The 27,894-nt window shown below is 42.8% G+C and overlaps 2 protein-coding genes, 2 long non-coding RNA genes and 1 other non-coding gene across 10 annotated transcripts in view, besides 5 other annotated features; 4 read left to right on the top strand and 1 right to left on the bottom strand.

Moving 5' to 3' along the window:
- The window catches only part of RNF149 (ring finger protein 149), a 37,483-nt gene extending 31,396 nt beyond the window's left edge, over nucleotides 1-6,087 (top strand). The window contains exons 7-8 of one of the 5 annotated variants that reach the window (XR_001738712.3): nucleotides 4,211-4,464; nucleotides 5,562-6,087. Coding sequence is in view for 3 of the 5 variants with exons in the window: in XM_005263921.5 (XP_005263978.1) it covers nucleotides 4,211-4,332 (122 nt within the window). In the remaining 2 variants the exon portion in view is untranslated. Of the gene's footprint in view, nucleotides 1-24; nucleotides 1,706-2,567; nucleotides 3,261-3,964; nucleotides 4,180-4,210; nucleotides 5,479-5,561 lie in introns of those variants that run through there. The other 4 variants (XR_922908.3, XM_005263921.5, XM_024452811.2 and 1 more) reach the window with 4 other exon arrangements.
- SNORD89 (small nucleolar RNA, C/D box 89) lies at nucleotides 4,257-4,370 on the top strand. The gene has a single exon (NR_003070.1). It is a non-coding gene; the product is annotated as a small nucleolar RNA, C/D box 89 (small nucleolar RNA).
- Nucleotides 6,088-6,989: 902 nt separating the features above from the next.
- Nucleotides 6,990-24,420, bottom strand: CNOT11 (CCR4-NOT transcription complex subunit 11). Its single transcript, NM_017546.5, has 7 exons — nucleotides 23,828-24,420; nucleotides 19,351-19,515; nucleotides 14,615-14,767; nucleotides 12,259-12,461; nucleotides 10,427-10,629; nucleotides 8,170-8,266; nucleotides 6,990-8,090 (listed from the first exon to the last, which is right to left on the bottom strand). The coding sequence occupies exons 1-7, from the start codon at nucleotides 24,339-24,341 to the stop codon at nucleotides 7,893-7,895; spliced, it is 1,533 nt and encodes a 510-aa protein (NP_060016.3). The 5' UTR covers nucleotides 24,342-24,420; the 3' UTR covers nucleotides 6,990-7,892.
- LOC105373511 (uncharacterized) lies at nucleotides 10,629-18,491 on the top strand. Of its 2 annotated transcripts, XR_007087158.1 has the most exons (4): nucleotides 10,629-11,184; nucleotides 15,774-16,082; nucleotides 16,642-16,957; nucleotides 17,265-18,491. It is a non-coding gene; the product is annotated as an uncharacterized LOC105373511 (long non-coding RNA). The 2 variants fall into 2 exon arrangements; XR_007087157.1 differs by lacking the exon at nucleotides 10,629-11,184 and having other exon boundaries at nucleotides 15,434-16,957.
- Nucleotides 23,603-24,515: an enhancer, noted in NCBI's record as "H3K27ac hESC enhancer chr2:101869253-101870165 (GRCh37/hg19 assembly coordinates)". NCBI's record gives its function as "activates a minimal SCP1, AML or CMV promoter by ChIP-STARR-seq in primed H9 embryonic stem cells {active_cell/tissue: H9 hESC(primed)}" and the evidence as "EXISTENCE:reporter gene assay evidence [ECO:0000049][PMID:30033119]".
- Nucleotides 23,603-24,645: a biological region, named in NCBI's record as "H3K27ac hESC enhancer GRCh37_chr2:101869253-101870165".
- Nucleotides 23,726-23,775: a silencer, noted in NCBI's record as "silent region_11822". NCBI's record gives its function as "represses an Ori minimal core promoter by ATAC-STARR-seq in GM12878 lymphoblastoid cells {active_cell/tissue: GM12878}" and the evidence as "EXISTENCE:reporter gene assay evidence [ECO:0000049][PMID:35858748]".
- Nucleotides 24,146-24,645: a silencer, noted in NCBI's record as "silent region_11821". NCBI's record gives its function as "represses an Ori minimal core promoter by ATAC-STARR-seq in GM12878 lymphoblastoid cells {active_cell/tissue: GM12878}" and the evidence as "EXISTENCE:reporter gene assay evidence [ECO:0000049][PMID:35858748]".
- Nucleotides 24,635-26,728, top strand: LOC124906053 (uncharacterized). The gene is made up of 2 exons (XR_007087160.1): nucleotides 24,635-24,750; nucleotides 26,399-26,728. It is a non-coding gene; the product is annotated as an uncharacterized LOC124906053 (long non-coding RNA).
- Nucleotides 26,872-27,371: an enhancer, noted in NCBI's record as "OCT4-NANOG-H3K4me1 hESC enhancer chr2:101866397-101866896 (GRCh37/hg19 assembly coordinates)". NCBI's record gives its function as "activates a minimal SCP1, AML or CMV promoter by ChIP-STARR-seq in primed H9 embryonic stem cells {active_cell/tissue: H9 hESC(primed)}" and the evidence as "EXISTENCE:reporter gene assay evidence [ECO:0000049][PMID:30033119]".

Here is a 27,894-nt window from a genome sequence, read left to right as displayed (position 1 = left end):
GTAGCTTATGTTGCTCTCTTGCAGAAGCCGGCAGGAGTGACTCTCGGCATGGAGGACCCATCTCCTAGCACACGTGCCCACTGAAGTGGCACCAACAGAAGTTTGGCTTGAACTAAAGGACATTTTATTTTTTTTACTTTAGCACATAATTTGTATATTTGAAAATAATGTATATTATTTTACCTATTAGATTCTGATTTGATATACAAAGGACTAAGATATTTTCTTCTTGAAGAGACTTTTCGATTAGTCCTCATATATTTATCTACTAAAATAGAGTGTTTACCATGAACAGTGTGTTGCTTCAGACTATTACAAAGACAACTGGGGCAGGTACTCTAATATAAAGGACAGGTGGTGTTTCTAAATAATTGGCTGCTATGGTTCTGTAAAAACCAGTTAATTCTATTTTTCAAGGTTTTTGGCAAAGCACATCAATGTTAGACTAGTTGAAGTGGAATTGTATAATTCAATTCGATAATTGATCTCATGGGCTTTCCCTGGAGGAAAGGTTTTTTTTGTTGTTTTTTTTTTAAGAACTTGAAACTTGTAAACTGAGATGTCTGTAGCTTTTTTGCCCATCTGTAGTGTATGTGAAGATTTCAAAACCTGAGAGCACTTTTTCTTTGTTTAGAATTATGAGAAAGGCACTAGATGACTTTAGGATTTGCATTTTTCCCTTTATTGCCTCATTTCTTGTGACGCCTTGTTGGGGAGGGAAATCTGTTTATTTTTTCCTACAAATAAAAAGCTAAGATTCTATATCGCACATGAGCATTAAGTTCTTCATTGCCTTGTTAAGGAAAATGAGTAGGCAGACTCAGAATCTGTTATATTGATTTCAGTTACAATTTAATCTTTACAATTAAAAGGGCGAAAGATGTAGAATTTTAGTTTTTGTTGTTGACTCGAAATAACCAGTTTTCTTGATTAGAGTTTAAGCAGATTTAATACCATGACCTTGCTTAACCGTTTCTTCTTTTTTACTTGCTTGCTGTTCTTTTGGGTCAAAGGAGCAGGCTAATGCAAAGCTTTTGGAGACTGCTAAGTGTTAAAAAGTGATTAAACACACACTCTGCTATTTTTTCACTTCTTGGAGGTAGAAGTCGAGTATGAGGCAGTTATTTTTTAGAGTGTGGAATTATAGTCTTTCCTTGCTCCTAGTTATTCTGTATATCTTTACTTTGTAGGTAAAAATAAATGTTTATTTAAAACAATTTTTAAAATTATAAATTTATTTTTATAGCCATATGTAGGATATAAAGATTTATATAGATTATTTTCTCAAGCTACTTAATGCTTTAATTCTAGCTACTCATCATGAAATAGTAAACAGTTTTACTGAAATAAACTCTACAGACAGATGCAGTATGAGGAGCTATTGAAGTAGAAAATGTATTTCGCTTTGCACACTGAGTTGGTTTTAGCAGACAACCTCAAGTAGGTTTCCATAACAGCCATTACCTTTGAAATCTACCTTCTGTAGTTTATTATAAATAGGAAAATACATCCTGATTCTGTAGCAAGTAGATTGTTTGCTCTTTGTCTTTAAGAAATACTAGGAGGGCCGGGCGCGGTGGCTCACGCCTGTAATCCCAGCACTTTGGGAGGCCGAGGCGGGCGGATCACGAGGTCAGGAGATCGAGACCATCCCGGCTAAAACGGTGAAACCCCGTCTCTACTAAAAATACAAAAAATTAGCCGGGCGTAGTGGCGGGCGCCTGTAGTCCCAGCTACTTGGGAGGCTGAGGCAGGAGAATGGCGTGAACCCGGAAGGCAGAGCTTGCAGTGAGCCGAGATCCCGCCACTGCACTCCAGCCTGGGCGACAGAGCGAGACTCCGTCTCAAAAAAAAAAAAAAAAAAAAAAAAAAAAGAAATACTAGGGGAGGGCCGGGCGCGGTGGCTCACGCCTGTAATCCCAGCACTTTGGGAGGCCAAGGCAGGCAGATCACAAGATCAGGAGATCGAGACCATCCTGGCTAACACGGTGAAACCCTGTCTCCATTAAAAATACAAAAAATTAGCCGGACGTGGTGGCATGTGCCTGTAGTCCCAGCTACTCAGGAGGCTGAGGCAGGAGAATCGCTTGAACCTGGGAGGCAGAGGTTGCAGTGAGCCAAGATTGCGCTACTGCACTCCAGCCTGGGCGACAGAGCAAGACTCCGCCTCAAAAAAAAAAAAAAAAAAAAAAAACAGAAATACTAGGGAAGGGCCAGGCGTGGTGGCTCACGCCTCTAAACCCAGCACTTTGAGAGGCCAAGGTGGGAGGATCACCTGAGGTCAAGAGTTCAAGACCAGCCTGACCAACATGGAGAAACCCCATCTCTACTTAAAAAAAAAAAAATACAAAATTAGCCAGGCATGGTGGTGGGCACCTGTAATCCCAGCTACTCGGGAGACTGAGGCAGGAGATTCTCTTGAACCTGGGAGGCAGAGGTTGCGGTGAGCCGAGATCGTGCCATTGCACTCCAGCCTGGGCAACAAGAGCAAAACTCCATCTCAAAAAGAAAAAAGAAAGAAAGAAATGCTAGGGGAAAATGTTTTAACTAGTCATTCTTCCCAGTAGCTAATGAAGCTGACTTTTAAAAAGAAGGCTGTGAGCTTTGCAGATGCTGCTGCCGCCCAGGGCCCCCTGCTTCCAGCCATGGTCAACCCCACCATGTTTTTCCACATTGCTGTCGATGGCGAGCCCTTGGGCTGTGTCTCCTTCGAGGTAAGGGGCCTGGAAAGCAAGAAGTGACTGCTCATCTAATCCATAAAACTATGTTAACAGATTGGAGCTGTTTGCAGACAAGGTTCCAAAGACAGCAGAAAATTTCCATGCTCTGAGCACTGGAGAAAAAGGATTTGGTTATAAGGGTTCCTGCTTTCACAGAATTATTCCAGGGTTTACGTGTCAGAGTGGTGACTTCACACGCCATACAGCATTGGTGGCAAGTCCATCTGCAGGGAGAAATTTGATGACAAGAACTTCATCCTGAAGCATACGGGTCCTGGCATCTTGTCCATGGCAAATGCTGGACCCAGCGTGAACGTTTCCCAGTTTTTTATCTGCCCTGCCAAGATGCCAAGACAGAGTGGTTGGATTGCAAGCATGTGGTCTTTGGCAAGGTGAAAGATGGCATGAATATTGTGGAGGTCATGGAGCACTTGGGGTCCAAGAATGGCAAGATCAGCAATCAGCAAGAAGATCACCATTGCTGACTGGACAACTGCAATAAATTTGACGGGTGTTTCTCTTAAAAAAAAAAAAAAAATACTGTGACAGACCAAGGTAAATTGTTTTTGATAATTACAGAAGTGTGATTTCTTAATCAGCAGCTGTCAAACATAGTGTTCCTTAATTTAAAAGCTTGAACACTAAATTATAAATTGGAGAGGTTGGAATAATTACGGTCATATCTCTAGAAACACAAGTCTTTAGTAGCAAAAAAGAAATTAGCAAGAGAAGAAAACTGTTCAGTACTTTGAAAGGAAAAAGTTTTCAGTGATAGTTTTTTTAGATGAAAATTAACATGATAAAGAAGTGACAGGCCAGGTGTGGTGGTTGACGCTTTTAACACCAACAATTTGGGAGGCCAAGATGGGAGGATCTCTTGAGCCCAGGAATTCAAGACTAGCCTAGGCAACAAGGCAAAACTCATCTCTACTAAAAATTTAAAAAATTAGCCAGGTGTGGTGGCATCTGCCTGTAGTCCCAGCTGCTTGGGAAGCTGAGGTGGGAGGATCGCTTGAGCCCAAGAGGTTGAGGCTGCAGTGAGCTGTGATCACACCACTGTACTCCAGCCTGGGCAAGAGTGAGACCCTGTCAAAAAAAAAAAAAAAAAAGAAACAAATATTACAAGAGTTTTTGCTGAAAGTTTTAAGTTGATAAGATGCAGAGAATTGGGGGAATGTATAATAAATCAGGTTTCATTGTTATATTATTTACCACATGAATCACCTTCCTCCTAACCATTATAGGAGCCATGTGTTCACATGTCATGTGGACCAGTATTTAACTGTGGAAACCGCGGGTGGCATGGAGAAGGAGGCAGTGTCCGTGACTGTGCTGCTCTCCGCAGCCCCCTGCCTGCTGTCCTGTTTCCTCGGCTCCTCGGTGTCTGGACTGGCGTTCTGGGTTTCCCAGCAGAAAACTAAAGGGCCAGAGAGGTGTAAAAACACACACCACTTGGCAGGTAATAATTTCCCCGCATGCTATCTTTTTAGGGATCCTGAACACACAGCCTTTCCCAGAAGACTGCTCCCTCCAGCTACTGAGGAATGATGACAAGAAAAGGCCGAATTGCAGTGTCTCCATCAGCAGTTTGCTCTCCATGGGCACACGATGACAAAATATCCTGAAGCGAACCACTAGTCTGACCTCAGTAGCAGGATTGGAAGCTTCATGCCATGGGAGCTGTCAAGAAAGGCATCCCAAAGAGAACTGAAATTTAAAAATAATAATAGACCTTCAGGAATAGGTGATTGTCCCCATATACTGGGGATGAAATACCCAATGTAACCAAATTCCCCAGTAAGATCACTTAGTTTGGCAATAGTCTTTTCTTTTGAGCATGTTGAAGTTTATTTGCTCAATGAAGGCTGAAATTATAAGTCAGTATATATGTATTACTAAGTAGAACTTGAGGTAATTATATGTTTTAGTCAAAAGCAGTTTCTGTGGGCTTGGTATAAACCCTACTTTGTGATTTGCTAAAGCACAGGATGTTGACTCAAACCAAAACTAGTTTTGTAGTTAATATGTGTTGTGTTTCTGTGACTTAATAGTCAACTAGAAACGCCACCTACAACAACCCAGGTACTTAAGTTTTAAAAGTTTTTTTTAAAACACTTGTCACCATATTTTGAAAAATACTAACATTTGGATTACTAGTTATAAAAGTGTAATTTCTACTGTGTCATAATCAGCCATGCAGCTGGAGACTTGCCCTCTTTGTACAGCAAAGTTGTGAAAAAAAGTATTTGCACTACATTTATTTAAACATTAGGAAAAAAAGCCAACCCATGCTTTTCTTTGCCGAGATGTAGGGCTGTATTATTGGCTAGTGAGAAGCCTGGGAACACTAGGACTTTGTGTGGGCTGATTGCAGGTATCAGATCCGGGATTATACAGGTACTGTTGGAAGTATCTTGGGGATTTTCCTGATAAGAACAGTAGTGATTGCATAAAAAGGACAGGATGTAAAGTGAAATCAGTAAAATATCTTAGTAGACAGAGGGTGCTGAAATTTTAACAAATGTGTAAAAAGTTCTTCCTATGCATTAATTTTCCAGATACCCTTAAAATGTTTAAGGAATGTAATTCAAAATACTGTTTAAAAGAGACATGTGACCATCATTCTCCCAGCGAATGTGAATCATTTAGTGTGCTACTCAAAATTAGGTGTAAATGTATATGTACACTATAAGAATAAAAATCGATACCATTTCTTTAAAGCTTTCTAAAATAAACTTAATTATTTCTAATAGTTACATTTTAGGCTCTCAAACTATTTTTCTTTTGAAATAACTGCTTTCTACCCTAAGATGTTACTCATTGCTGTCTTCTTTTTAACAGGTGATTTGAAGATATTAAAGCTAGAAATTGGAACTAGAAAATCAAAAGAATTCAAGGCATCTTAACGTGACAGTTGAACTCATTTGATTATACTTAAAAAAGTTTATTGCAGTTATTGACTCTCAATTTTTTTTTTTTTTTTTTGAGTGCAGTGGTGCCATTGTTGCTCACTGCAGCCTCAATCTTCCAGGCTCAAGAAATCCTCCCACCTCAGCTTCCAGAGTAGCTGGGACTACAGGTGCATGCCACACCCTGATAATTTTTTTTTCCCCAATATAAACGAGGTCTTGCTATGTCCTCCAGTCTGGTCTTGAACTCAAGTGATCCACCCACCTTGGCCTCCCAAAGTGCTGGGATTACAGGCGTGAGCCACCAAACCCAGCCACCAATTTTACTTTAGGTAAACTTTTATTTTCAAGCTTTTGTTGGTGTTGCAAGTGTAAATCTGTTTTATAAAATGTTCTATAAATATAACCACTATTCCTTGTAAGCTATTTAAAATAAATTTTAAAGTCTTTCAAGTAAACACCAATATTGTGATTTTGATCCTCACTTACGAAGTCCCTATTTGAGAACCTCCCTACTAAAATGTATTTGTTACTCCAAAATCATCCCATGCGGTCACTTTCAGACATGCACAGAGCAGCGAATGAGCCAAGCTGCCTGACCCGCACGTTCCTGACGGAGGCTGGACGGGATGCCCTGCCGTTTCCTCTCCTACTACAAGCAAGTGTCCTTTCATAGTCTCTTCACAGTACCATGTTTTTTGCATTTCTGCAATTTTTGTTGGCAATTTCACTATTTAAAATGGTCCTCAGGTGTGGCAAAATATTGCCTGCTGCTCTAAGGGCAAGGCTGTGATGTGCCTCATGGACTAAGTGTCTGTTAGATCAGCTTCACTCAGGCATGAGTGATGGTGTTGGCTCTGAGTTCAGTGTTTTATTATGCCAGAGAATCAGTAGGTCCTGTAGGTCCTAGAACCTAAAGCTGGGTTGTTGAAACTGCCACTCCTAAAGTACTTCAGTAATAAGCTGTCCTTTTCCCAATGCTAACGTGCAAAACGGGGATGCTCGCTTTTAGGTGTAAAAAGAAATCTCTGTTGCCATCATTTTAATTGTCTGAAGGCATTCCTCTGATAGATGGGCTTAGTTCATTATTTCCTCTAAGCAAACATTCTTAAACATTTCTTTTGTAAGAAAAACAATTTATTATAGACAATTTATTATAAATCTTTAGTACTGCTCTTTCTCCAGCTTTAAGACTGGAACTTGTACTTATCTTAAAAATCACAGGCTTGGTTTCCTTTAACTTTTTCAAGGTGTTAGAGAGTAATTCCTGTTGAACAGATTATCTCCCTGTAAATATGCTTTGAAAATACCTCAGTAAAAGGAATTTCTCATGATTTCTTAAAGTAAAAAATACATCAGATAACAGTTGATAAAAAGAACTTTAATGGAAGGCACTGTTGTCCAAAATCACATAAAGGGTAAGAGCCCACACGGTACCACCCTGCTCTCCTACTTCTCAAACCCACATCCACCACCCAGACAGGAGGGTGCAGACCCCACAGGAAATTACCTCCCGGAGCACTGACTGATATTTTTCCTTAAAACAAAAAAATGGCTGTCTCAGACTAATAACAGAACATCTTAAGAGAAAAAAAAAAAACTATACCAGCTATTACAGCCTGGTAATAGAAGCAGCTTTCTAAGAATTCCCAAGTTTATAAGAGGCCCAAGAAATGCATTTATTCTGTTGTCTATTAAGCCTCCATGACAAGGAGAAAGTTATGAGTAAATCCTTGGTTCATCAGGAGTTAAGAGCTGTGTGCCTCATGAGGAGTTAAGAGCTGTGTGCATAAGCAGGTTCAAGAAACAAACTCCTGTTTGTTTGCCTCTTGATGGTTCAGAAACATTCAGCTGCTTTCACCTCTAGGACAAATGCTTAAGAATTTACTCTCATCAACATTGGAACTTTACGAAAACAGGATTCCTGGTTCATCAGAAGCCTGTATTAATGAAAAATGCATTTTGTTCTTTAGTGCTTAAAAAAAAAAGAAACTCATCTACTTTTTTGCGGAACTTTTTTTGGGATAGCCATTCCTCCTATGGATAGTCATCAGCAAGACACCTAAAAGACATGTTTTCCCTAGTTCTTATCAAAAATTCATCTCACAGAAAAAGTCATTCAAGAAAGCAAAACTTTGCTTTAAGTAGATAAAGTACTGTTTATATGCATTAAACCAAGCAATCCACTCAGGGTTTTAACGGTGTAAAAACTAAATCACAGTACAGCTGAACAGTGAATGGATGGGATGGTTCTGATGAGGTATTATTTTGACATTTTGGTCTCAGAAGGTGTTTCCCCAGTATCCAATGTCTTCAACAACCGGAAAAGACCAGCAGCTTCTCGTATCCTACTGAATTCAATACAGAATGCCTGCACTTCTATAAACAAATCCTGTACATTAATAATTTTGTTACGGATCAAGGATTGGAGAAACACACACACAAGACGCACCAACCGATTCTGAAAAAGGAAAAAAAAAAATGTTAGTCTGCTCATTTTCCTGGCAGCCATTTATAAAATTTACAAAAATTTATATTACCTGCATATATTTATCCTTAATCTGTTCACAAGTAGAGATGCAATTTGATATATAAAGGTGAATAAATTCAGGAGGTAGATCAACAGCTGTAGTTAGTCTGTTTCGTAAAAGAAAATTTGGCCCATTAATTTCATTTGCTAACATTGAGAAACACTGTTAACCATAAAATACAAAATTTGCTTTGGTCATCTGGTGGAATTTTCTGACATATCCAATTCCCTAGTTTTAAATATACTTGGGCAAATTAACCTAAGAGCCATACCTACTTACTCATAAATAACACTGTTTAAAATGTCTCTACTTACATTTACATATCGCAATTATTTTTTTGAGCCCTGTCCCTGAGTATTCTTGGTTAAATCCTAAGTCATGGTCTGTTATTGGAATTTAGAGTCATAATAAAGGCCAAAGCCAGTATTTTCCAAAGGATTACATGGAATGTTTTAATGAGAAAAACGAGTGGGGTGGGAACAGGAATTCCGTACTCAAAGTATGAATTTCCAAAAGAAGATTAATATATGCTGCCTTTTCTAAACTTAACAGACCTCAAAACTTTTTTCAATAAGGCATGAGGATGTAGTGCTCCAAGGACACTGTCATGAGCTGCTGCAGTCTCTTGAGATTTGTGCGTCGCCAAAAAACGTGTTTCACGTTTAAGGATGATGCACTATGATAGGTATCGGGGGAAAACAAACAGGACCTTGTCCTTGAATTCCAAGATACTGAGCAGATAGAATCACATTGATAAAAAGATGTAAGTGATTCTGCATCTTGGACTCAGGGCCAAATGTCTGGTAGAGACAAGAACTGCTATAAGAATATGGTGAAAGGGAAGTGAACACTCAGCGTGGTCAATCCGGAGGACCTGCACAGAACTGGGCCACTGAAAAGAGTGAGTCTTCACTCAGTAGGGGAAAGACTGGAACAAAGAGGGGGGAGATGTGCAGCAGCACGTTTTCAACAAGCAGCTAGCCGGTTTTGCCAGTGACCACGGTTAAAGTTAAAAATTAATTTGGAAACCTCACATTTCCTCCCTCTGCTACCGCTAAAAGAACGCACTCTCCTTCTATGCACGTACTTCCACTCCCTCAGCTTCCAGCTGGGCTTTTTTTCCCCCAATAGTTGATGAAAAAAGGACACATTCTGTAGTTCAATTTCACATAGATTTTTTCAAAAAGCCCCAACTTACAAACAGGTGTTCAAAAACTATGCTCTCCAGTACTGAAGTTTAGTTGCTTGGCACTCAGAATGGATTTCCCCATACAGGAGGACCATATAATTTATCATCCAAAACAGGATACCACGTGAAAGGGAGCTCAGGATGCAAAGCCTCCACCAGGACTCTCAGGCACACCTGAACCTCTGGCCACCCTGCACATAAACAACTTAAGCCCTCCAGCCCATCTAATTCACAATTTACCTAAAAGATATTTGTAAGGAAAATACTCTAAAATGCAAACACTGTACAGCACACATCAAGAAGGGAAGATGTTCTGTTTTCCTGACAGTCAAGGATGGCAGGGTCAGGAGCCTGGGGGTCAGAAAGGCTGGGAGAAGAGCACGAGGAAGCTAGGACAGCATTCCTAGGATTCTCAGCTCTTAAGGTCCATATTTTTCCACACTTACAGCTGTTAGTCACTAAGAAAAAATAGTATCTATATTTGTATAGGGATAAAGAAGACAGGACTATGTATAGGGAAATAAATTTCAGCAATTGGCTGGCACACTGGCTCATGCCTGTAATCCTTGCACTTGGGAGGCTGAGGTGGGCAGATCACTTGAGGTCAGAAGTTCGAGACCCGCCTGACCAACATGGCGAAACCCCGTCTCTACTAAAAATACAAAAATTAGTCGGGTGTGGTAGCACACACCTGTAATGCCAGCTACTAGGGCGGCTAAGGCAGGAGAATTGCTTGAACCCAGCGGGTGGAGGTTGCAGTGAGCTGAGATCACGCCACTGCACTCTAGCCTGGGCAACAGAGTGAGACTCCCTCTCAAAAAAATAAATAAATAAAATAAATTTCAGCAATTAAATTTCATTTATGCTTCTACTAACACTAAATATGTTTGAAATCCTACCCTCAGTTCTTATTAACGCATGCTAAATTTACATGTAGTGAATGCTAAGGCTTACATTATTTCTTTAATAGTTAATCTTACGCCAATAATATCAAGACAAAAATCTGTTACAATTTTTCTTTCCTGGCCATCTAATCTGTATCTATCCCCACACATTTGATCAAATCTAGAAACTTACCGATTTACAACTTCCATTGAATGTAAAGACATGTCCATATTGACCAGGACAGAGAAATACTCAGTGATCTGGCTTGACTGCATTAATTTCAGCAACATTTCTATAGCGACTAAAGGGTTGTTTTCCACAAGGTCAGGAAGTTTGGCTGGGGTGAGGCCAATATGGTAGACAAGTTTGGGGTCTTTTTCCAACTCACCAAGTAGCTAAATACACCAGATTTTTAAAGAGAGAGAGAGGGAGAGAGAAAGGGTGTTGAGTCAATTTTTTTTCCCATGTATATGAAATAAGCATTTTATACAAAAAGCTACAAAACTATCTGCATTGAACCAACTTCATAAATTTCTTCCTTCAAACCCATGATGTCTTGACATTTCTAAATTTACATTTTAATTTTGAACAAACTAAAATGCAAACACATCTAAGACAGTTTATAAATATGCTAGTGATTCCTATTCCTGGGCATCAAACCAGACTCCACACTGTCTGGTCAGATAAAATACTGTCTGGTTGTAACAATGTCAAGTCCTTTGCAGGTTTTTTTTTTCTGTCATCTGTTGTAACTAAAAATAATCTTAATGACCAACTAGTTCTCCCAAGAAACAGTCCTGCCCCACCCCACCCAGGTGGAGACCAGAAATACCTGAGAAGGGGGCGGAGTGGGAAGCCGGAGCGGGAATCCGGACAGCTGACCTGCTGCGAGTCATCAGTCTGCAGAACTTTACAGTTCAAGTCACACCCACACTTTGTAATTCAAACAGGTATCCTCAAAGGACTTTTTCTATGAAGTAAGCACTTCCTCTTTAAATGTCCTATGCTTTTTTTCCCCCGTCTACTTAATATGTTCCACAGTGGACTGTGTTTTCAGGATGGTCTTGCGAGCAAAGCGAACTACAAACGTTGCTATTATTTCGTTTTGAAAATGATATTTTTGGTGGCAAACGTGATAGGAGAGGTCATCTCCTAAAAAGTTCTAACTCAAAAGTGTGCAAACTGGATAAAATTCACCAACCAATAGAAGAGTGGCCTTGCCTTTCCTGAGGAGAGTCATCCAGTCTCACACTCGGGCAGTGGGGGCTACTTTAATCTCAAATACACCACGATCCAGCTGTGTGATGGGGGCGGGTTCCCCTTCCCAGCCTTGTTTTCCTCCCTACAGCCTGTCAGTAACTCCACTTTCCATCAGAAGCGTTACCATCAGCTCAAACGTAACCATTGTGTAGTGTCCCACTGTACACAGCAGTGACACCCCCACTACCCCACCTCTCCCAGGGACAAACATCACAAAGAAAAGTTAGAACATTTTTGCCATCAGACTTCTTGCCCCACCACAGCAAAATTACCAAAGAGTAGAACAAAGCTTCAGAGACCCAAAAACCTTTGCAACTTCCTACTGCTCACTCACAGTGACAGGATTAGTTTATTGCTTACCACTTTCCAAAAAAAAAATAAACTCTTGTTGGATTAAAGATAAGAAAATGCTCACAATGGCTGGGTACAGTGGCTCACACCTGTAATCCCAGCACTTTGGAAGGCCAAGGTTGGCAGATCACTTGAAGCCACCAGACCAGCCTGGCCAACAATGGCAAAACCCCATCTCATAAAAATACAAAAATTAGCCGGGCATGGTGGTGCATGCCTGTAGTCTCAGCTGCTGGGGGCGCTGAGGCACGAGTATCACTTGAACCCGGGAGGCAGAGGCTGCAGTGAGCCGAGATCGTGCCACTGCACTCCACCCTGGGCAGCCGAGTGAGACTCTGTCTCAAAAACAAATTTTTTTAATTAAAAATAAATTTAAAAAAAAAGATAAGAAAATGCTTACAATCAATACACACCTGTGTTTGTTGGGGAGAGGATAAGGGGCTTTTGAAGGCTTTGGCCATTATTCGTTTGATCTCCACACCAGTGCTATTCTTAACACACATCGATTTATCCCACTGGATCGCGTGGTCAGGCTCCGTGGGGTTTAGCCAAGCAAGTTCATCCTCACAAATGTGGAGTGGAGGCGGTGGACGAATAAACTCTGGTCGAAAATGGCCTGTAATGAGAGCCGTGATAGTTGCTCCTATCAGGAAGCTAACATCTCTACACATCTCACACATTTCACTTAATAAAGTATGCAAAGAAATCTCTTAATAAGGATGATGTGACTAGAACTCTCATACTTCAAAATCAGAAGCAGGAATGACACAGGAAGTCAGGGTTTCAGTCAGAATGCAAACAAGACAATGAAAGAACACTATGCCAGCATGATGCCAGAGAACAATCTATTCGCTTTGCAGAAGTGAGGAAAGCCTGGCCGTGATCTGCCCATGCTGCACTTGAGCATGGCCACTCAACAGCAAAAGGGCACGACTCCTAAACGGGTGAAGTCTTTTGATGAAAAAATGAAATACTATGCCCTCACACATCCTATTCTTAGTTACCACTATTTGTTCAGCTGCCACTATGATTTGTACTAGTTTTATCTTTGCATCTTATAACTGAAGTAACAAATTACGTGGCGATGAAGCAGCAGGAGGAAAAGTATGGTTGCCTTTTGATATTTCGAAACGAATGTGGAAACCGTCACGAATCCCTAAATTCACAAATACTATATTCATTTTCAGAAAACAATAGAAGTACAAAAGGAAAATGAAGTGGTTCAACTCAACTATTTTATAAAACAAGATTCATCCCTGAGTTACAAACCCACTGAAATAAATGCTGGCTAGGACTTCTGCTGAACCAATTTCACATCTCACATAGTTTCCACATAGGGCAGGAGTGGCTTATTCCTGTCATGGATCCTAGCCCTGCCAAATTTGAGAGTCTACTGTTGAGTTTACAGAAAATATTTTTTAGTTAAAAATCATCACTTTATCTTAAACATCTCCACTGCCTCTTCACTTACCTCACCAGGACTAGCATCTGAATCTCCCTTCAACCACTTACAAAAATAAAGTTTTTAACAATTTATGAGAAATACTACTTATGTGATAGAGAGTTCTTGCGAGGTGGGGACACCTGGTGTTTGGCTAGACCCACTTATTATGAGTGATCTGCTTTTCATATATCTTCCTGGTGACCTATGCAATTTAGAGTTCTGCCCGAGCAAATATTTAAAAGAAGCCATTACATGCCATGGACATTTCAGTCACACTTGTGACCAGCAGAAACTTCAAATATTAAACCTATGTATGTCAAAGATCTACTGTAAACCAAATGGTACAAAAGTCACTGTGTGAACTTCAAACTCATGGTGATACTACACTATCATCTGGTAAACATGTTCTCATCCCAAAGCAGAAAGCTTGCCTTCATAATTCAAAGCACACAGAAGCCTATAAAACAGATGCCAGGTAGAGTGGTGCATGCCTGTAATTCCAACTATGTGGGAGTCTGAGGTAGGAGGATCCCCTGAGCCTCAAGGGATTGAGTCCAGCCTGGGCATCATAGCAAGATTCCATCTCTTAAAGAAATCCCCAAAAAATGCAGCTATATTATTTCAAATTCTACAAGTGTTTTCTTTGAATTAAAGTAAATTAGGAGTTTATAAGAAAAACTTTAAAATGGAAAAGGAAATGATAGCAATAAGAAGATTTAACAGGTATAAAACAAAAAGATAATGAGCTGCTACAAAAAGACTCATTTCAGTAAAATGAGAATCTGTATTTTTTTTTTTTCCTTTTTGAGACAGAATCTCACTCTGTCACCCAGGCTGGAGTGCAGTGGTTCGATCTCGGCTCCTGCAACTTCTGCCTCAGCAATTCTCCTGACTCAGCCTCCCAAGTAGCTGGGACTACAGATGCATGCCACTACACTCGGCTAATTTTTTATTTTTAGTAGAGATGGGGTTTCACCATGTTGGCCAGGCTGCTCTAGAACTCCTGACCTCAAGTTATCCACCTGCCTCGGCCTCCCAAAATGCTGGGATTGCAGGTGTGAGCCACTGCGCCCAGCCTGTATCTTTAGGTATGCATAGGATAGACATGCAACAAACAACTTGGCATGCATTTTTCTTAAAGAAGAAATTAACTGTCACTGAACATCTCTACTATGTTCTAGACACTCACTACACTAGAAAGATTCACACTAAATTACAATTTAAGTCATAATAAAAATAAAATGATGTCTCAAAAACTGAAAAGTCCTAGAGGATCCTGCTGACAGAATAAAACAAAGAGTATAAATTAATTTATATGTACCTACTTTCAATAGGTGGCTTTGGTCCGCTGACTAAAGCTTCTGTGATCTGAGAGGCAACTGAGCTGTCAAATCCAGAATTAGAAGAATCCGGGTCTGGGTCACTGAGAATACTGGGGAAGCTCGCTTTGCTTTGCGTTGGCAATTCAGATTGGCGTTCTGGAAATAGGAGACATTTTAAAATTATGGACATCATGAGGAGAGAGAAAAGACAAGCTACCAACTGAGGCAAGCTATCTGTAACAGAGAAAAACAAAGGGCCAGATTCAGAGAGAGAGAGAAAATGTGTGTATGTCTGTACGTATAGCAGGTCCTCACTTAGCGTTGTTGAAAGGTTCTTGGAATCTGCCACTAAGTGAAGTGACGTGTAACAAAACAACTATTTTTATCAATGTTATAATAAAACAATGTTGATGAAACAGTGTTATTCAAGGACCTGCTGTACATCACTTCACTTAAATCTGCAGTTTCCAACAACCCGTCAGTGATGTTAAGTGATGACTTACTGTACATATATTTTTAAATCAATGTTTTAAAAAAAGAAAGAACCCACCAGGCGCAGTGGCTCATGCCTGTAATTCCAGCACTTTGGGAGGCCGAGGCAGGCAGATCACGAGGTCAGGAGATCGAGACCATCCTGGCTAACACGGTGAAACCCTGTCTCTACTAAAAAAATACAAAAAATTAGCCGGGCATGGTGGCAGGTGCCTGTAGTCCCAGCTACTCGAGAGGCTGAGGCAGGAGAATGGCATGAACCCGGGAGGCGGAGCTTGCAGTGAGCCAAGATCGCGCCACTGCACTCCAGCCTGGGCGACAGAGCGAGACTCCATCTCAAAAAAAAAAAAAAAAAAAAGAAAGAAAGAAACCAACAGGAAAAAATGGACTAGTAACTTTAATAAGGATTTTGTTTAAAAAGCTTGAATGGCCAAAAAAATCTGAAAAGATATTTAATCCCATTAGGAACTAGGGAAAATCCAGTTAAAACACAAGATACTATAACATACCCACCAGATTGGCAAAAATGTATAAACTTGACATTACCAAATGCTGAAGAGGATGTAAGGTAACTTGCATGGTGCTACAGGAGTGAAAAATGGCAAAGCAACTTTGGAAAATAATTTGATGTTTCTTTATAATGTTTACATGTGCATTTCTTTCCATCTAGGAGACACACTTTCACACGCGCCCCAGAATAATGTGCAAGAATGTTCACAGCAGTATTATGTCCATCAACAACAGAATGGACACAGAACTTGGTACTCCACAGTGTGAAGGTACCACAGCAGCAATGAAGGGCAGCCACTGCAGTTACACGCCATCAGCATGGACTCATCTGTCAACCCCCAACAGAAGGAAGGCACAAGAGAATAAATGCAGTACAATTCCACATGTATAAAGTTCAAGGGCATGCAAAGTGAAACTATAGGCAGGCACAGGAGGGAAGCAAATTGAGGATGATTATCACAAAAATCAGGTTAGTGATGAGGCAGCCACTGGGAGAAACAGGGAGCCTGTAGGCCCTGAAAATATTCTCTTTCTTAACTTGGATGGCAGGTTGCTCCTGGTTCACTTAATTATAATTCCTTTAAAAAGTGAATGCATGTTTCACTTCAGATTGTGTAATTTTAAAAACACGGGGCTAAATTCCTGATTAAAGAACTATACAAATCAATAAAAGACCATCAACCCAATGGAAAAATGGCCAGAGACATATGAAAAGATGCCTTAGACATATAGCATCTTTTCTCATCCACTTACTAGGAGAAATGCTCACTAAAATTATCCTGTAATGCCATTTAAAAAAATCTCAGATTGTTGAAGTACAAAAAGTTAGATAACATATTATCAACCAAAATGTGAAAAAAAAAAAAAGATAAATTGGCCAGCTGTTTGGTAAACTAGTAAGTGGTAGGTGTTTGTCAGGAATAAATCATAAAGAAAAACAAAACCTCTGAAATGAAAACTCATTGTTAGGGTAAAACTTCACCCCTTGTAGTCACTTATGTTTAACTTGTCTACTTGTTTTTTTAAAGTTAAGAAAACACAAACTGCATCATCCAAAAATACACCTTTGGTCCACGGATGCCACTGGAAGACATCTGAATTTTAGACCTCCAGAGAGAAGATCTGGGTGGCTAGCTCCAGAGTGGAGGCATGCTTGCTTTTTCTTTACACTTGTGAAGAGGAATGGATCCGGACATCTGCAATCTGGGTAGAGGACGGCAGGCAGCAAGCTTAGCCACTCGGCCAGGCTTCTCAGCCCTTACTCTAGACATGTGATCCTTCCTCCACGTGATATACTTCACAACTTTCTTACGGCTACTCAAGGCATCCCAAGTTAAAAGGAAGGTCAGATGTGATTCTCACTTTATTATGATAAAAAAAATTACTATTTAAATACTATAAATAAATATTATAATAAATACTAAGCTAGAACCATCAGAATACATCACTTCTGTATCCAGTTTTCAAAGTATCTTTGGTGTTTGTCAGGAATAAATAAAAGTAATCATTTTATTTCTATTAAATTATATCTGGCACTAGTGGCTAGTACTTTTGTACTTATTAGTACAACCTTAAAAAGTCTTAAAAAGATTTCTTTTGGTTTCAGAACATAACCATTGTTACATTGTTCTTGTCTCTGCTTTTGTAACAGGGTCTCACTCTGTTGCCCAGGCTGGAGTGCAGTAGTACAATCATGGCTTATTGTAGCGTTGACCTCTCAGGATCAAGTGATCCTCTTATGTCAGCCTCCTGGGTAGCCGGGACCACAAGTGCACACACCACCATACCCAGGTAATTTTTATTTTTTTAATTACTTTTGTAGAGACAGGGTCTCCCTATGTTGCCCAGGCTGGTTTTAAACTCCTGGGCTCAAGTGATTCTCATGCCTTGGCCTCCCAAACTGCTGGGATTATAGGTATGCGCCATTGTGCCTGGCCCCATTGTTATATTGTTAATACCCAATAGTTTAAAGGTTCACAATGTTGCAAAGGAAAAGCTGTTTACTGCAACATGTCACCTTATATCAGAAGCCAAATGTCACAGGTTTATGAAGTCTAAGAAGGATGGGGCATTGTCAAAATACTTCAGCTTACTTAATTACAAAGTCAAGGGTTCACAAACCCAGCTACATATTACAATTTCCCTGTTGAGTTGCTCTCAAGTGAGAAAATGAATGCTGACAGCAGGCAAGCCCAAAGTGCCTCCTCTACTCCTTCAGAACTCAGAGAGCCTCTCTCTGACCACCAGTTCTCCTTCTCCTATTATTTTCTGTCAGGACACACTGTTTACTTCAAGAGCACTCATTCATTTGCTTACAGGTTTAACACAGAATGTGCCAGAACAATCCTGAACGAGAACAAAGTTGAAAGTCTCATACCTCCCGATTTCAAAACTTAGTACAAAGCTACAGTAATCAAAACAGTGTGGTACTGGCAGAAAGACAGACATATAGACAAATAGAATGGAATAGAAAGCCCAGAAATAAACCCTTGCATATATGGGCAAATGATTTTCAACAAGGATGCCAAGAGAACGTTGGGTTTTGGCTATTCAGCATCCCGAGACAGGTCTCACGATATTGTGCAGGCTGGAGTGCAGTGGCGCAATCACAGCTCACTGCAGCCTCGATCTCCCAGGCTCAAGTGATTCTCCCACTTAAGCCTCCCAAGTAATTGAGACCACAGGCATGCACCACCACGCCCGGCTAAGTTTTTAATTATTTGCAGAGACAAAGTTTCCTTATGTTGCCCAGGCTAGTCTTGAACTCCTGCCCTCAAACGATCCTCCCACTTTGGCCTCTCCCAAAGATTACAGGCATGAGCTACTATGCCAGCCTTTCTTTGGTTTAAAGATGGATTTTTCTTTTTTTTTTTTTTTTTGAGACAGACTCTCGCCCTGTCACCCAGGCTGAAGTGCAGTTGCACAATCTCAGCTCACTGCAACCTCCAGCTCCCAGGTTCAAGTGATTCTTGTGCCTCAGCCTCCCAATTACAGGTGTGAGCCACTGTGACTGGCCGGATTTTTCTATTTCTGCAAAAAACACTGTTGGAATTTTGACAGGAATTGCACCAAATCTGTTGATTGTTTTGGGTAGTATTGACATTTTAACAAATAGTAAGTCTTCCAATCAAAACTTAAAAAAAAACCCACTAAATTTTATCCAGCTTTCTTCTAAAACAGAAAAAGCAATCAATTCAAGTGAAAACTCCAAATGAATTTACATGCTATTAGCATCCAAAAATTTAAAGAGTTCCATTTATTTATTTATTTATTTATTTATTTATTTATTTATTTATTGAGATGGAGTCTCACTGTAGCCCAGGCTGGAGTGCAGTGGTTTGTTCTCAGCTCACTGCAACCTCCACCTCCCGGGTTCAAGCTATTCTCCTGTCTCAGCCTCCTGAGTAGCTGGGATTACAGGCGTGCTGCACCACCATGTCTGGCTAATTTTTTGTATATTTAGTAGAGACAGGGTTTCACCATGCTGGCCAGGCTAGTCTCAAACTCCTGACCTCAAATGATCTGCCCACCTCAGCCTCCCAAAGTGCTGGGATTACAGGTGTGAGCCACCGTGCCCAGCCAAGACTTCCATTTAAGATCCAGTACTAAAACTACTTTTTAAAATGGATGATACTAACCTTTTAGCAGTTACAAAAAACATCATTTTAGTAGAGTCCTCAACAAGAGAGGCCTAATATTACCACACAGAAATGCCCAAAACACTGATTCCTCCTTACCGGCCAAGGCTAACTGAAGCCCACTAATGTCCACAGACTGGCCCATGTTTCCAACGTCCATCAGTGCAATCTGGCGAGGCGTCTTTTTGAAGAGTTCCCGTGGGGGTGCCAGCATCAGCTGGGAAAGAAAAAACTTTTCTGGTGGAGTTATAGGAGGTAAAAATCCTGCAAACAAAAATGTATAACGATTTCTCCAATGGTTACTTTTAAAAATCAACTTGAATCTGGTAAAATCAGTACTTGCTACTTGCCACTTCAAGCCACATAGTTTTAAGAACTAAATTATGATTAAGTTTCAGTCAACCAAATATATACATTTACAAACTATGTAATATGTCATTTGAAATTCTATGATCTGTGGCCCTACAAATGAAACTTAAGGTTTTTGTACTTGTTAACTGTAAGAGTTAAAGAAAGAGGAAAGAAACACAAAACGCAGCCTGGCAGTCAAAGACAGGTTTTCTTTAGTTAAAACATCGGCCAGGAGTGCTTCTCAGGTTCTAACTAAAGAAAATCTGTCTTTGACTGCCAAGCTGCGTTTTGTGGCTTTTTTTTTTTTTTTGAGATGAAGTCTCACTCTTGTCTCCCAGGCTGCAGTGTGATGGCATGATCTTGGCTCACTGCAACCTCCACCTCCCGGGTTCAAGAGATTCTCCTGCCTCAGCCTCCCAAGTAGCTGGGATTACAGGCACCTGCCACCATGCCCAGCTAATGTTTGTATTTTTAGTCGAGTCGGGGTTTCACCATGTTGGCCAGGCTGGTCTTGAACTCCTGACCTCAGGTGATCCACTCGCCTCAGCCTCCCAAAGTGCTGGGATTACAGGCATGAGTCACCGTGCCCCGCCTGGTGTTTCTTTCCTCTTTAACTCTCACATTAGTAACTTCATTTTCTTTTCTTTTTTTTTTTGAGATGGAATCTCGCTCTGTCGCCCAGGCTGGAGTGCAGTGGTGCAATCTCGGCTCACTGCAAGCTCTGCCTCCTGGGTTCACGCCATTCTCCTGCCTCTGGCTCCCGAGTAGCTGGGACTACAGGCGCCCGCCACCACGCCCAGGTAATTTTTTGTACTTTTTAGTAAAGACAGGGTTTCACCGTGTTAGCCAGGATGGTCTTGATCTCCTGACCTCGAGATCCACCCACCTCGGCCTCCCAAAGTGCTGGGATTACAGGCGTGAGCCACCACGCCTGGCCCAATAACTGCATTTTCTAAAGTGCCTCAATTCCTGCAAAGGCTAAAGCTTATATATGCAAACAAAAACAGACAACACTATAGTGCTCGGAAATGCTTTTCTTTCTTCTCTGTTTCCACTGTGTAGAAGTTGAATAAATAGAAGAGCAACCAGCAGCTATCCAAATACACTACCTGATTCAACACACAATGCAGCTACAAATTCCCACAAGGCTGAATGTTCCTTCCCTTTTGTCCCATGTTTAATTGCTCATGAAGCCTCATCTCTCCCACTGCAGAAATGTCACCAGGCTGCATTCCCTCAGATGTAGTCCCCACGCCTCTCTTGCTGGGACTACTCCTGCCCCCTCTACTGACTTCCCCAGCTCCCAGTTTTGACCCCTGCTCACCCACCACCCATAGTCCATACTTCCTCTTACCATTTAGTTATATCTCTAGAGTACAAATCTGATCACATTACTTAACCTGTGTACACAGAATTAAACCCAGATTTCTACACCATTACAAGACCCTTCAAAATCTGGTCCCACCACACCTTCCTAATCTCACTTCTTGACCTTCTCTCCCATCCATGTACCCTACACCCCGGTTGCACAAAATCCCTCAACTTCTACACTATTTTTTTTTTTTTTGAGGCAGTCTCACTCTGTTGCTCAGGCTGGAGTGCAGTGGCGCGATCTCAGCTCACTACAGCCTCCGCCTCCCAGGTTCAAGCAATTCTCCTGCCTCAGACTCCTGAGTAGCTGGGATTACAGGAGTGCACCATCATGCCGGGCTAATTTTTGTATTTTTTGGTAGAGATGGGGTTTCGTCATGTTGGCCAGGCTGGCTTCCAACTCCTGGCCTCAAGTGATCTGCCTGCCTTGGCCTCCCAAAGTGCTGGGATTGCAGGCATGAGCTACCACACCCGGCCTTACACCCAGTTTTTTAATAATACCTGGCAGAGCTACTCCTGCCCTCCCTCCTGCATCCCTAATCAATATCCAGCAAAAAATATCACTCCTGAGAATTTCTCCAGCTCCACAGGTGGTCGTTCCTTCCTCTTAACTACCCAGCATTACACAATCGCAGCCCTGCCTCTGTTCAGAGTCATCTGAAAAGCATTCTGAAGACATACCCACTAAATGTCTTACCCTAAACATACAATATCAGCAGCTCTGGGAGTGGAGTGTAGGCACTGATATTTTCTCTTCTATGTTATCTACACACCATCCCTACCTACTTTAATAATGGTATAATAGTGGGTAACACTCACAGGTACTTTTTTTTTTTTTGAGACGGAGTCCCGCTCTTTAGCCCAGGCCGGATTGCAGTGGCACAATCTTGGCTCACTGCAAGCTCCGCCTCCCAGGTTCACGCCATTCTCCTGCCTCAGCCTCCCAAGTAGCTGGGACTACAGGCGCCCGCCACCGCGCCCGGCTAATTTTTTGTATTTTTAGTAGAGACGGGGTTTCACCGTGTTAGCCAAGATGGTCTCGATCTCCTGACCTTGTGATCCGCCCGCCTCGGCCTCCCAAAGTGCTGGGATTACAGGCGTGAGCCACCGCGCCCAGCCCACTCACAGGTACTTTTATTCTTTGTAACAACTCTACCAGCTGGGAATTGTTACTATTTGCATTTTACAGATGAGGAATCTGAGGCACAAAATGGTTAAATATAATCCATCCATGGATTCCTTCTCTGGTGACTGCCATCCCACCTATGGCAAATCTGTGTGTATAATGCGGTCTACGGACTAGGTGTGGGTTTAGATTCACTGTACATGAGAATGACATTATATAAGTCACGGTTTCTTTGCCTCACTTGTTCTTCAGAATTCAAAGGGCCCTCTGATCTAAATCCCAGTGTCCCAATCCTCTAATACAAGCACCCTAGGGTGGTGGTTGTCTGTGTGTGTGTGTGTGTTTAGAAGCTGTCACCCTAACTCACTGCAGCCTCAAACTCCTAGGCTCAAGTGATCCTCCTGCCTCAAACTCCTGAGCAGCTGGGGCTACAGGTGTTAGCCACCCCATGCCCAGCAAATTTTTTATTGCTTTGTAAAGACAGGATCTTACTATGTTGCCCAGGATGGTTTCAAACTCCTGGCCTCAAGCAATTCCCACCCCCCAACCTCCACCACTTCGGCCTCCAAAAGTGCTGGGATTATAGGCGTGAGCCACCTAGCCAGGCCTAGGTGGTGAGTTTTGACCACAAACCTGTGTTACATTCACTTTCTGGGCAGTCACAAGCTTCTTAGAAGCAGGTTAAGTACCTGTACCCTAAAGGCATCTCAGGCCAATACAAAGGGTTGCCCTTCTTAGATAAGGGCACTACAGGACACCTATCAGAAGATCCTGATGGGATGCCCGGCAGGAACACTAACTAGAAACGCGGCCCTCCTGTACCATAAAAACAAACTCCTGGTGTTACTTCAAAATCTACTGCCTAGCCTTGACTCACTGTATAGCAGGCCCTACCTATACTGGTTAAGGAATGTAAGATCAAGCTGTTTCCTATCTCTGTGTGCTTCCTCCACTACACTGGTTCCTAAATCCTTCAGGTCCCGTTGTCAACATGCCATTTTTCTTGTTTTCTGACTGCAAGTCTTCTCGCAAAGCAAATCCACATAAAGCATCACCTGCTTGAGCTTAAAAACAAAAAAAAATGCAGCCTCGCATCTAACCTACTAGTTTGATCTCACCAATGCCACACAATAGTAAATACATTTTACATAATGTATACCACGTATGCACTTTACATAATGTCCAGTAAGTCATGTGTTTCCAAACGCGAGATCATCAATTTGAGACTTTCTATCCTCTGCCCCCATCCCTAACAGGCTAAGAAAGGCGGCTGCAAAGTCTTTAAGGTGTTTCATGTGTATTTCCGCCCACCAACTTCTTCAGCTTCTTAATACTGACTTCCACGTACTCCTTTGAGACTAAAAACCGGGGACAGATCCAGTCTTATCATTGGTTTTAACTTCACACACCACAGACGGGTTTTCGAAGAACGAACCGTATTTGAGACACTAAACATGTCAAGACCTACACTGAGCTGTATGATGTGATGGGGTGTATAGAGAAATCATTTTCGGTGTCACGAACTTGCAATTAAGCTACCACCTCTCCATTCTTTAGAGTTAAGGCGGGGAGGAGTGAGGGGCGTGGGAACGCAGAGAGAGGCGGAAAAAGAGGATGATCATTTCACAGGGATAGTTAATTTCCCTTTCAGGTGAGTTCCCAGCAGCGCAGGTGGAAAGCTGCGGAATCTAACGCTATCCACACGGCACAGCTGGCTTCAGGAGGTACCTGAGAGCGGAGGGCGGTCGGGTTCCTGGCCGCCGCGGGCGGGCGGCGCGGGGTTGAGCAGGTGCGCGAAGCTGGCGGCGAAGGGGTTGGCGGCCAGCGGCTCGGTGCGGTACATCTCCCAGAGCAGGTAGAGCGCCGTGAGGCGCTGCGCCGCGCTAGGCAGCAGGTCGGGCTGCTGGAGCAGCATGACGAGCACCGAGCCCAGGCGGAAGTGGTCGGCCTTGCTGAAGTAGTGGTGGAAGGCGGTGGACAGGCCCTCGAAGGTGCTGCCGCCGCCCGCCTCCTCCGATATGATGCTCAGCAGGCTCGAGAGCTCCTTCGGGGTCAAGCTCATCCTGCCCGCGGGGCCCCCCGGGCCTCCGCTCCCGGACCCGGGGCCGCTTGCTCCGCCTCTGCCGCCGCCGGAGCCCCCGAAGCCGCTCCTGGACGCCGACCCTGCCGCTTCCCGGGACCCTCTTTGCTCCGCGGCGGTGAGAAGCCGGCCAGACGCCGCGCTCGCCCCTCCGCCGGGCATCAACCTCGCTCCCCTTCCCCTCTTCCCGGCCCGAGGGGCCCTGGCGCCGGCTCGCTCCGTCCCCGCGGCCGTAAAGCGCGCTGTTACACGACAGCGTCGCAAACAAAACACGTCGGGGAAACCAGACCGCCGCGGAGAGGGACAGCGCCCAGCGAAAGCGAGGCTGATGGAGCGAAGCCAGGAAGAGGATGCGGAGACGCGGGGTAGGCGGGGCGAATTGGCAGGAAGCGGGGGCGGGGCCCGGGAAGGGAGGGGAGGGGCGGGGCGAGGTCGGGCTGGTGGCGTTCAGGGTTAGGTCTGCCGAGGTCCCGCGGCAGGAGAGCCCGGGGACTGCATGCGTCTGCGCAGCTGCGAGGTTAAGCCGCCCTTTGGCGGTCCCCAGGACGGTTCCTGGTGCCAGACGGTCCCAGTAAGTGCTGTCTACGTTATTATTTGGAAGAATGCACCTCAGATGTTAACTATTTTCTTAATATAACATCCGTAAGTATTCGTCGTAAAAAGTATTGTAAATGCAGGCCGGGCGTGGTGGCGCGTGCCTGTAATCCCAGCACTTTGAGAGTCCTAGGCGGGAGGGTCGCTTGAGCCCGGGAGTCCCAGGCTGCAGTGAGCTGTGATCACCACTGCATTGCAGCCCGGGCGCTCTGTCTCAGAAACATTTTTTTTAATTTAGTAAATGCAAATATACCACACATTTCACATAACCACGGTTAATTTCTAGTCTTACACTCATTGCAGAAATGGAATCATACTGCACTATGAGCTTTTTTGTACATGGTTTTTTCTCTTAACATGATTTCGAGAACATGTCTCCAGTTAATATTCATTTACAAAATTGTTTGCTGTGCCACGTTTTACTTAGATTGCCCTAGGGCACTTATCCTGGGCACTTAGCTGTGCATTAGAAACCCACGGGGAGACGTTACAAATACCTAGTTCCACCCCCAGAGATGCTGATTGAGATATTAATAAACCCCACCTCTTCAGGTGAGTCTGAGGTGTAGTCTGGGCTGAGAACCACCAGGTGGCATTTCCCAGACTTGCCCGGTCCCTAAACCTACAGAAACGTACGCGTATTTCGCCAGTGATTACCACCAGCGATTCTAATTATCTAGTTAAGAGCCACCTCAATTCTTTTTTAAAACATATTTTTATTTTATTTTATGTGTTTTTGGGGAGAAAGATATTTTATGTAAAAAAAATTTTTTTCATCTTTTTAAAACTTGTATTTCAGTAGTTTTGGGGGTACAGGTGGTTTTTGGTTACATGGATAAGTTTTTAGTGGTGATTTCTGAGACTTTGGTGCACCCGTCACCAGAGCAGTGTACGCTGTACCTGTCAGGCCTCTGAGCCCAAGCCTGCACATATACATCCACATGGCCTGAAGTAACTGAAGAATCACAAAAGAAGTGCAAATGGCTGGTTCCTGCCTTAACTGATGACATTACCTTGTGAAATCCCTTCTCCTGGCTCAGAAGCTCCCCCGCTGAGCACCTTATGACCCCCGCCCCGGCCTGCCAGAGAACAACCCCCTTTGACTGTAATTTTCCACTACCCACCCAAATCCTATAAGATGGCCCCACCCCTCTCTCACTTCCCTGACTCTTTTCAGACTCAGCCCGCCTGCACCCAGGTGATTAAAAAGCTTTATTGCTCACACAGAGCCTGTTTGGTGGTCTCCACACGGACGCGCGTGACAGTACCCAAAATATAGTCTTTTATCCCTCAGCCCTGTCCCACGTATACCCCCTCCCACCCCAGAGTCCTCAAAGTCCATTATATCATTCTTATGTCTTTGCATCCTCATAACTTAGCTCCCACTTAGAAGTGTAATATTTGGTTTGCTACCTCAATTCTTATGAAAAATTTAAGGAAGAGAAATTGCTGGGTCAACAGGTGTGATATCTACTGAATTTTAAAGGCTTCTTCAATTTACTGCTAAATTGCACTTCAGAAAGATCCTGCCAATTAACGTTCCTAACAGCAGCAGATATAATGTGGTAACTTGGGGAACTGATTCAAATTAGCTCAAAAGTACTCTCATAAATTTTTTATTATAGGGCCTGGGCAAGGTGGCTTATGCCTGTAATCCCAGCACTTTAGGAGACCGAGGCAGGTGGATCACTTGAGGCCAGGAGTTTGAGACCAGCCTGGCCGTGGTGAAACCCCGAATCTACTAAAAATATAAAAATTGGCCGAGCATGGCGGCTCATGCCTGTAATCCCAGCTACTTGGGAGGATGAGGCAGAAGAATGGCTTGAACCTGGGAGGTGGAGGTTGCAGTGAGCCGAGATCTCACCACTGCACTCCAGCCTGGGCGACAGAGTGAGACTGTCTCAAAAAAAAATTTTTGTTATTATAATAAACTGTATTTTGTGCAAGCCATTTTACATTGGGTGGTCTATGGGTCTATTTGTTATTGTAATTTTCCTGCAGTTCTAATACTATTTAATAGTAGTAATTATACCAATTGCCAGTTATTAATGTAGTAATACTAATGCTGTGTGGGTTTTTTCCAAGATGTTTCAAAAATATTTGAACATTTTATTTTATCTTAAAAAAAAAATAAAAAACATGGGAAGCCGAGGCGGGTGGATCATCGAGGTCGGGAGTTCAAGACCAGCCTAACCAACATGGAGAAAACCCGTCTGTACTAAAAATACAAAAAAATTAGCCAGGCGTGGTGGTGGGCACCTGTAATCACAGGTAATTGGGAGGCTGAGACAGGAGAATCATTTAAACCCTGGAGGCAGAGGTTGCAGTGAGCCGAGATCGTGCTGCTGCACTCCAGCCTGGGTGATAGAGACTCTGTCTCAAAAAGAAAACCGGTTAGGACTAGGTGTGCCATCTGCATAGAGTGTGAATCTCTGGCAGCCCCCACCCCAGTCTTTTATTATGCAGGCAGGTAGCTATTCTTGTGACTGATCTCTTTCCTACTGTGTACATGCTAACAAAAAAGGGAAGGTGGAGCCCCCATGGTGGACACGCATGGCCCCAGGTTGCTGTGTCTGTGTGGCTGCTGGCATCACCCTGTGCAAGCTTCCAGCTTCCTTATTTATGTCTGCAGCTCGATCTTTCAGGCTGCTCTTTGTTAGAAAATAAGTGATTTCTTGGGCTGCTTTTTGCTTCTTTTTTCTTTTCCCTTCATGACCATTACCACGTAGGATATAAGCCTCTGGCTTGCCTCCTATATAGCCCCTCATTTCCTTCCCCATATTTGGCAACCAGACCAGCATCCAGGACAACATAAACTATGCCACTGGTTGTTAGAAGGCTTGGGACATTTGTCTCTTTGCCAGCCTTAGCTTAACCCAGGAGACAAAGATTATTATCTCTCCTGCATAGGATCTGCAATCAGAACTATTGAACTTCTCCATCTGGACCACCACTCACACCTATAGGAAAAGGGTAATATAATAGATCATTGCCTAAATAACAGGGAATCCTGTTCATATGATGGAAAATGGGGACAAAAGGCTTTGGTACCTAAAACATTATTCCTACCTTGGCATAGAAACTCACTGACACCTACCTTAACGCTATTATGCTTATTTGC

Source organism: Homo sapiens, chromosome 2, assembly GCF_000001405.40.
Source record: "Homo sapiens chromosome 2, GRCh38.p14 Primary Assembly".
Classification (NCBI taxonomy): Eukaryota; Metazoa; Chordata; class Mammalia; order Primates; family Hominidae; genus Homo; species Homo sapiens.
The sequence above is the reverse complement of the archived record's forward strand: the minus strand, read 5'-3'. Positions and strand labels throughout refer to the sequence as shown.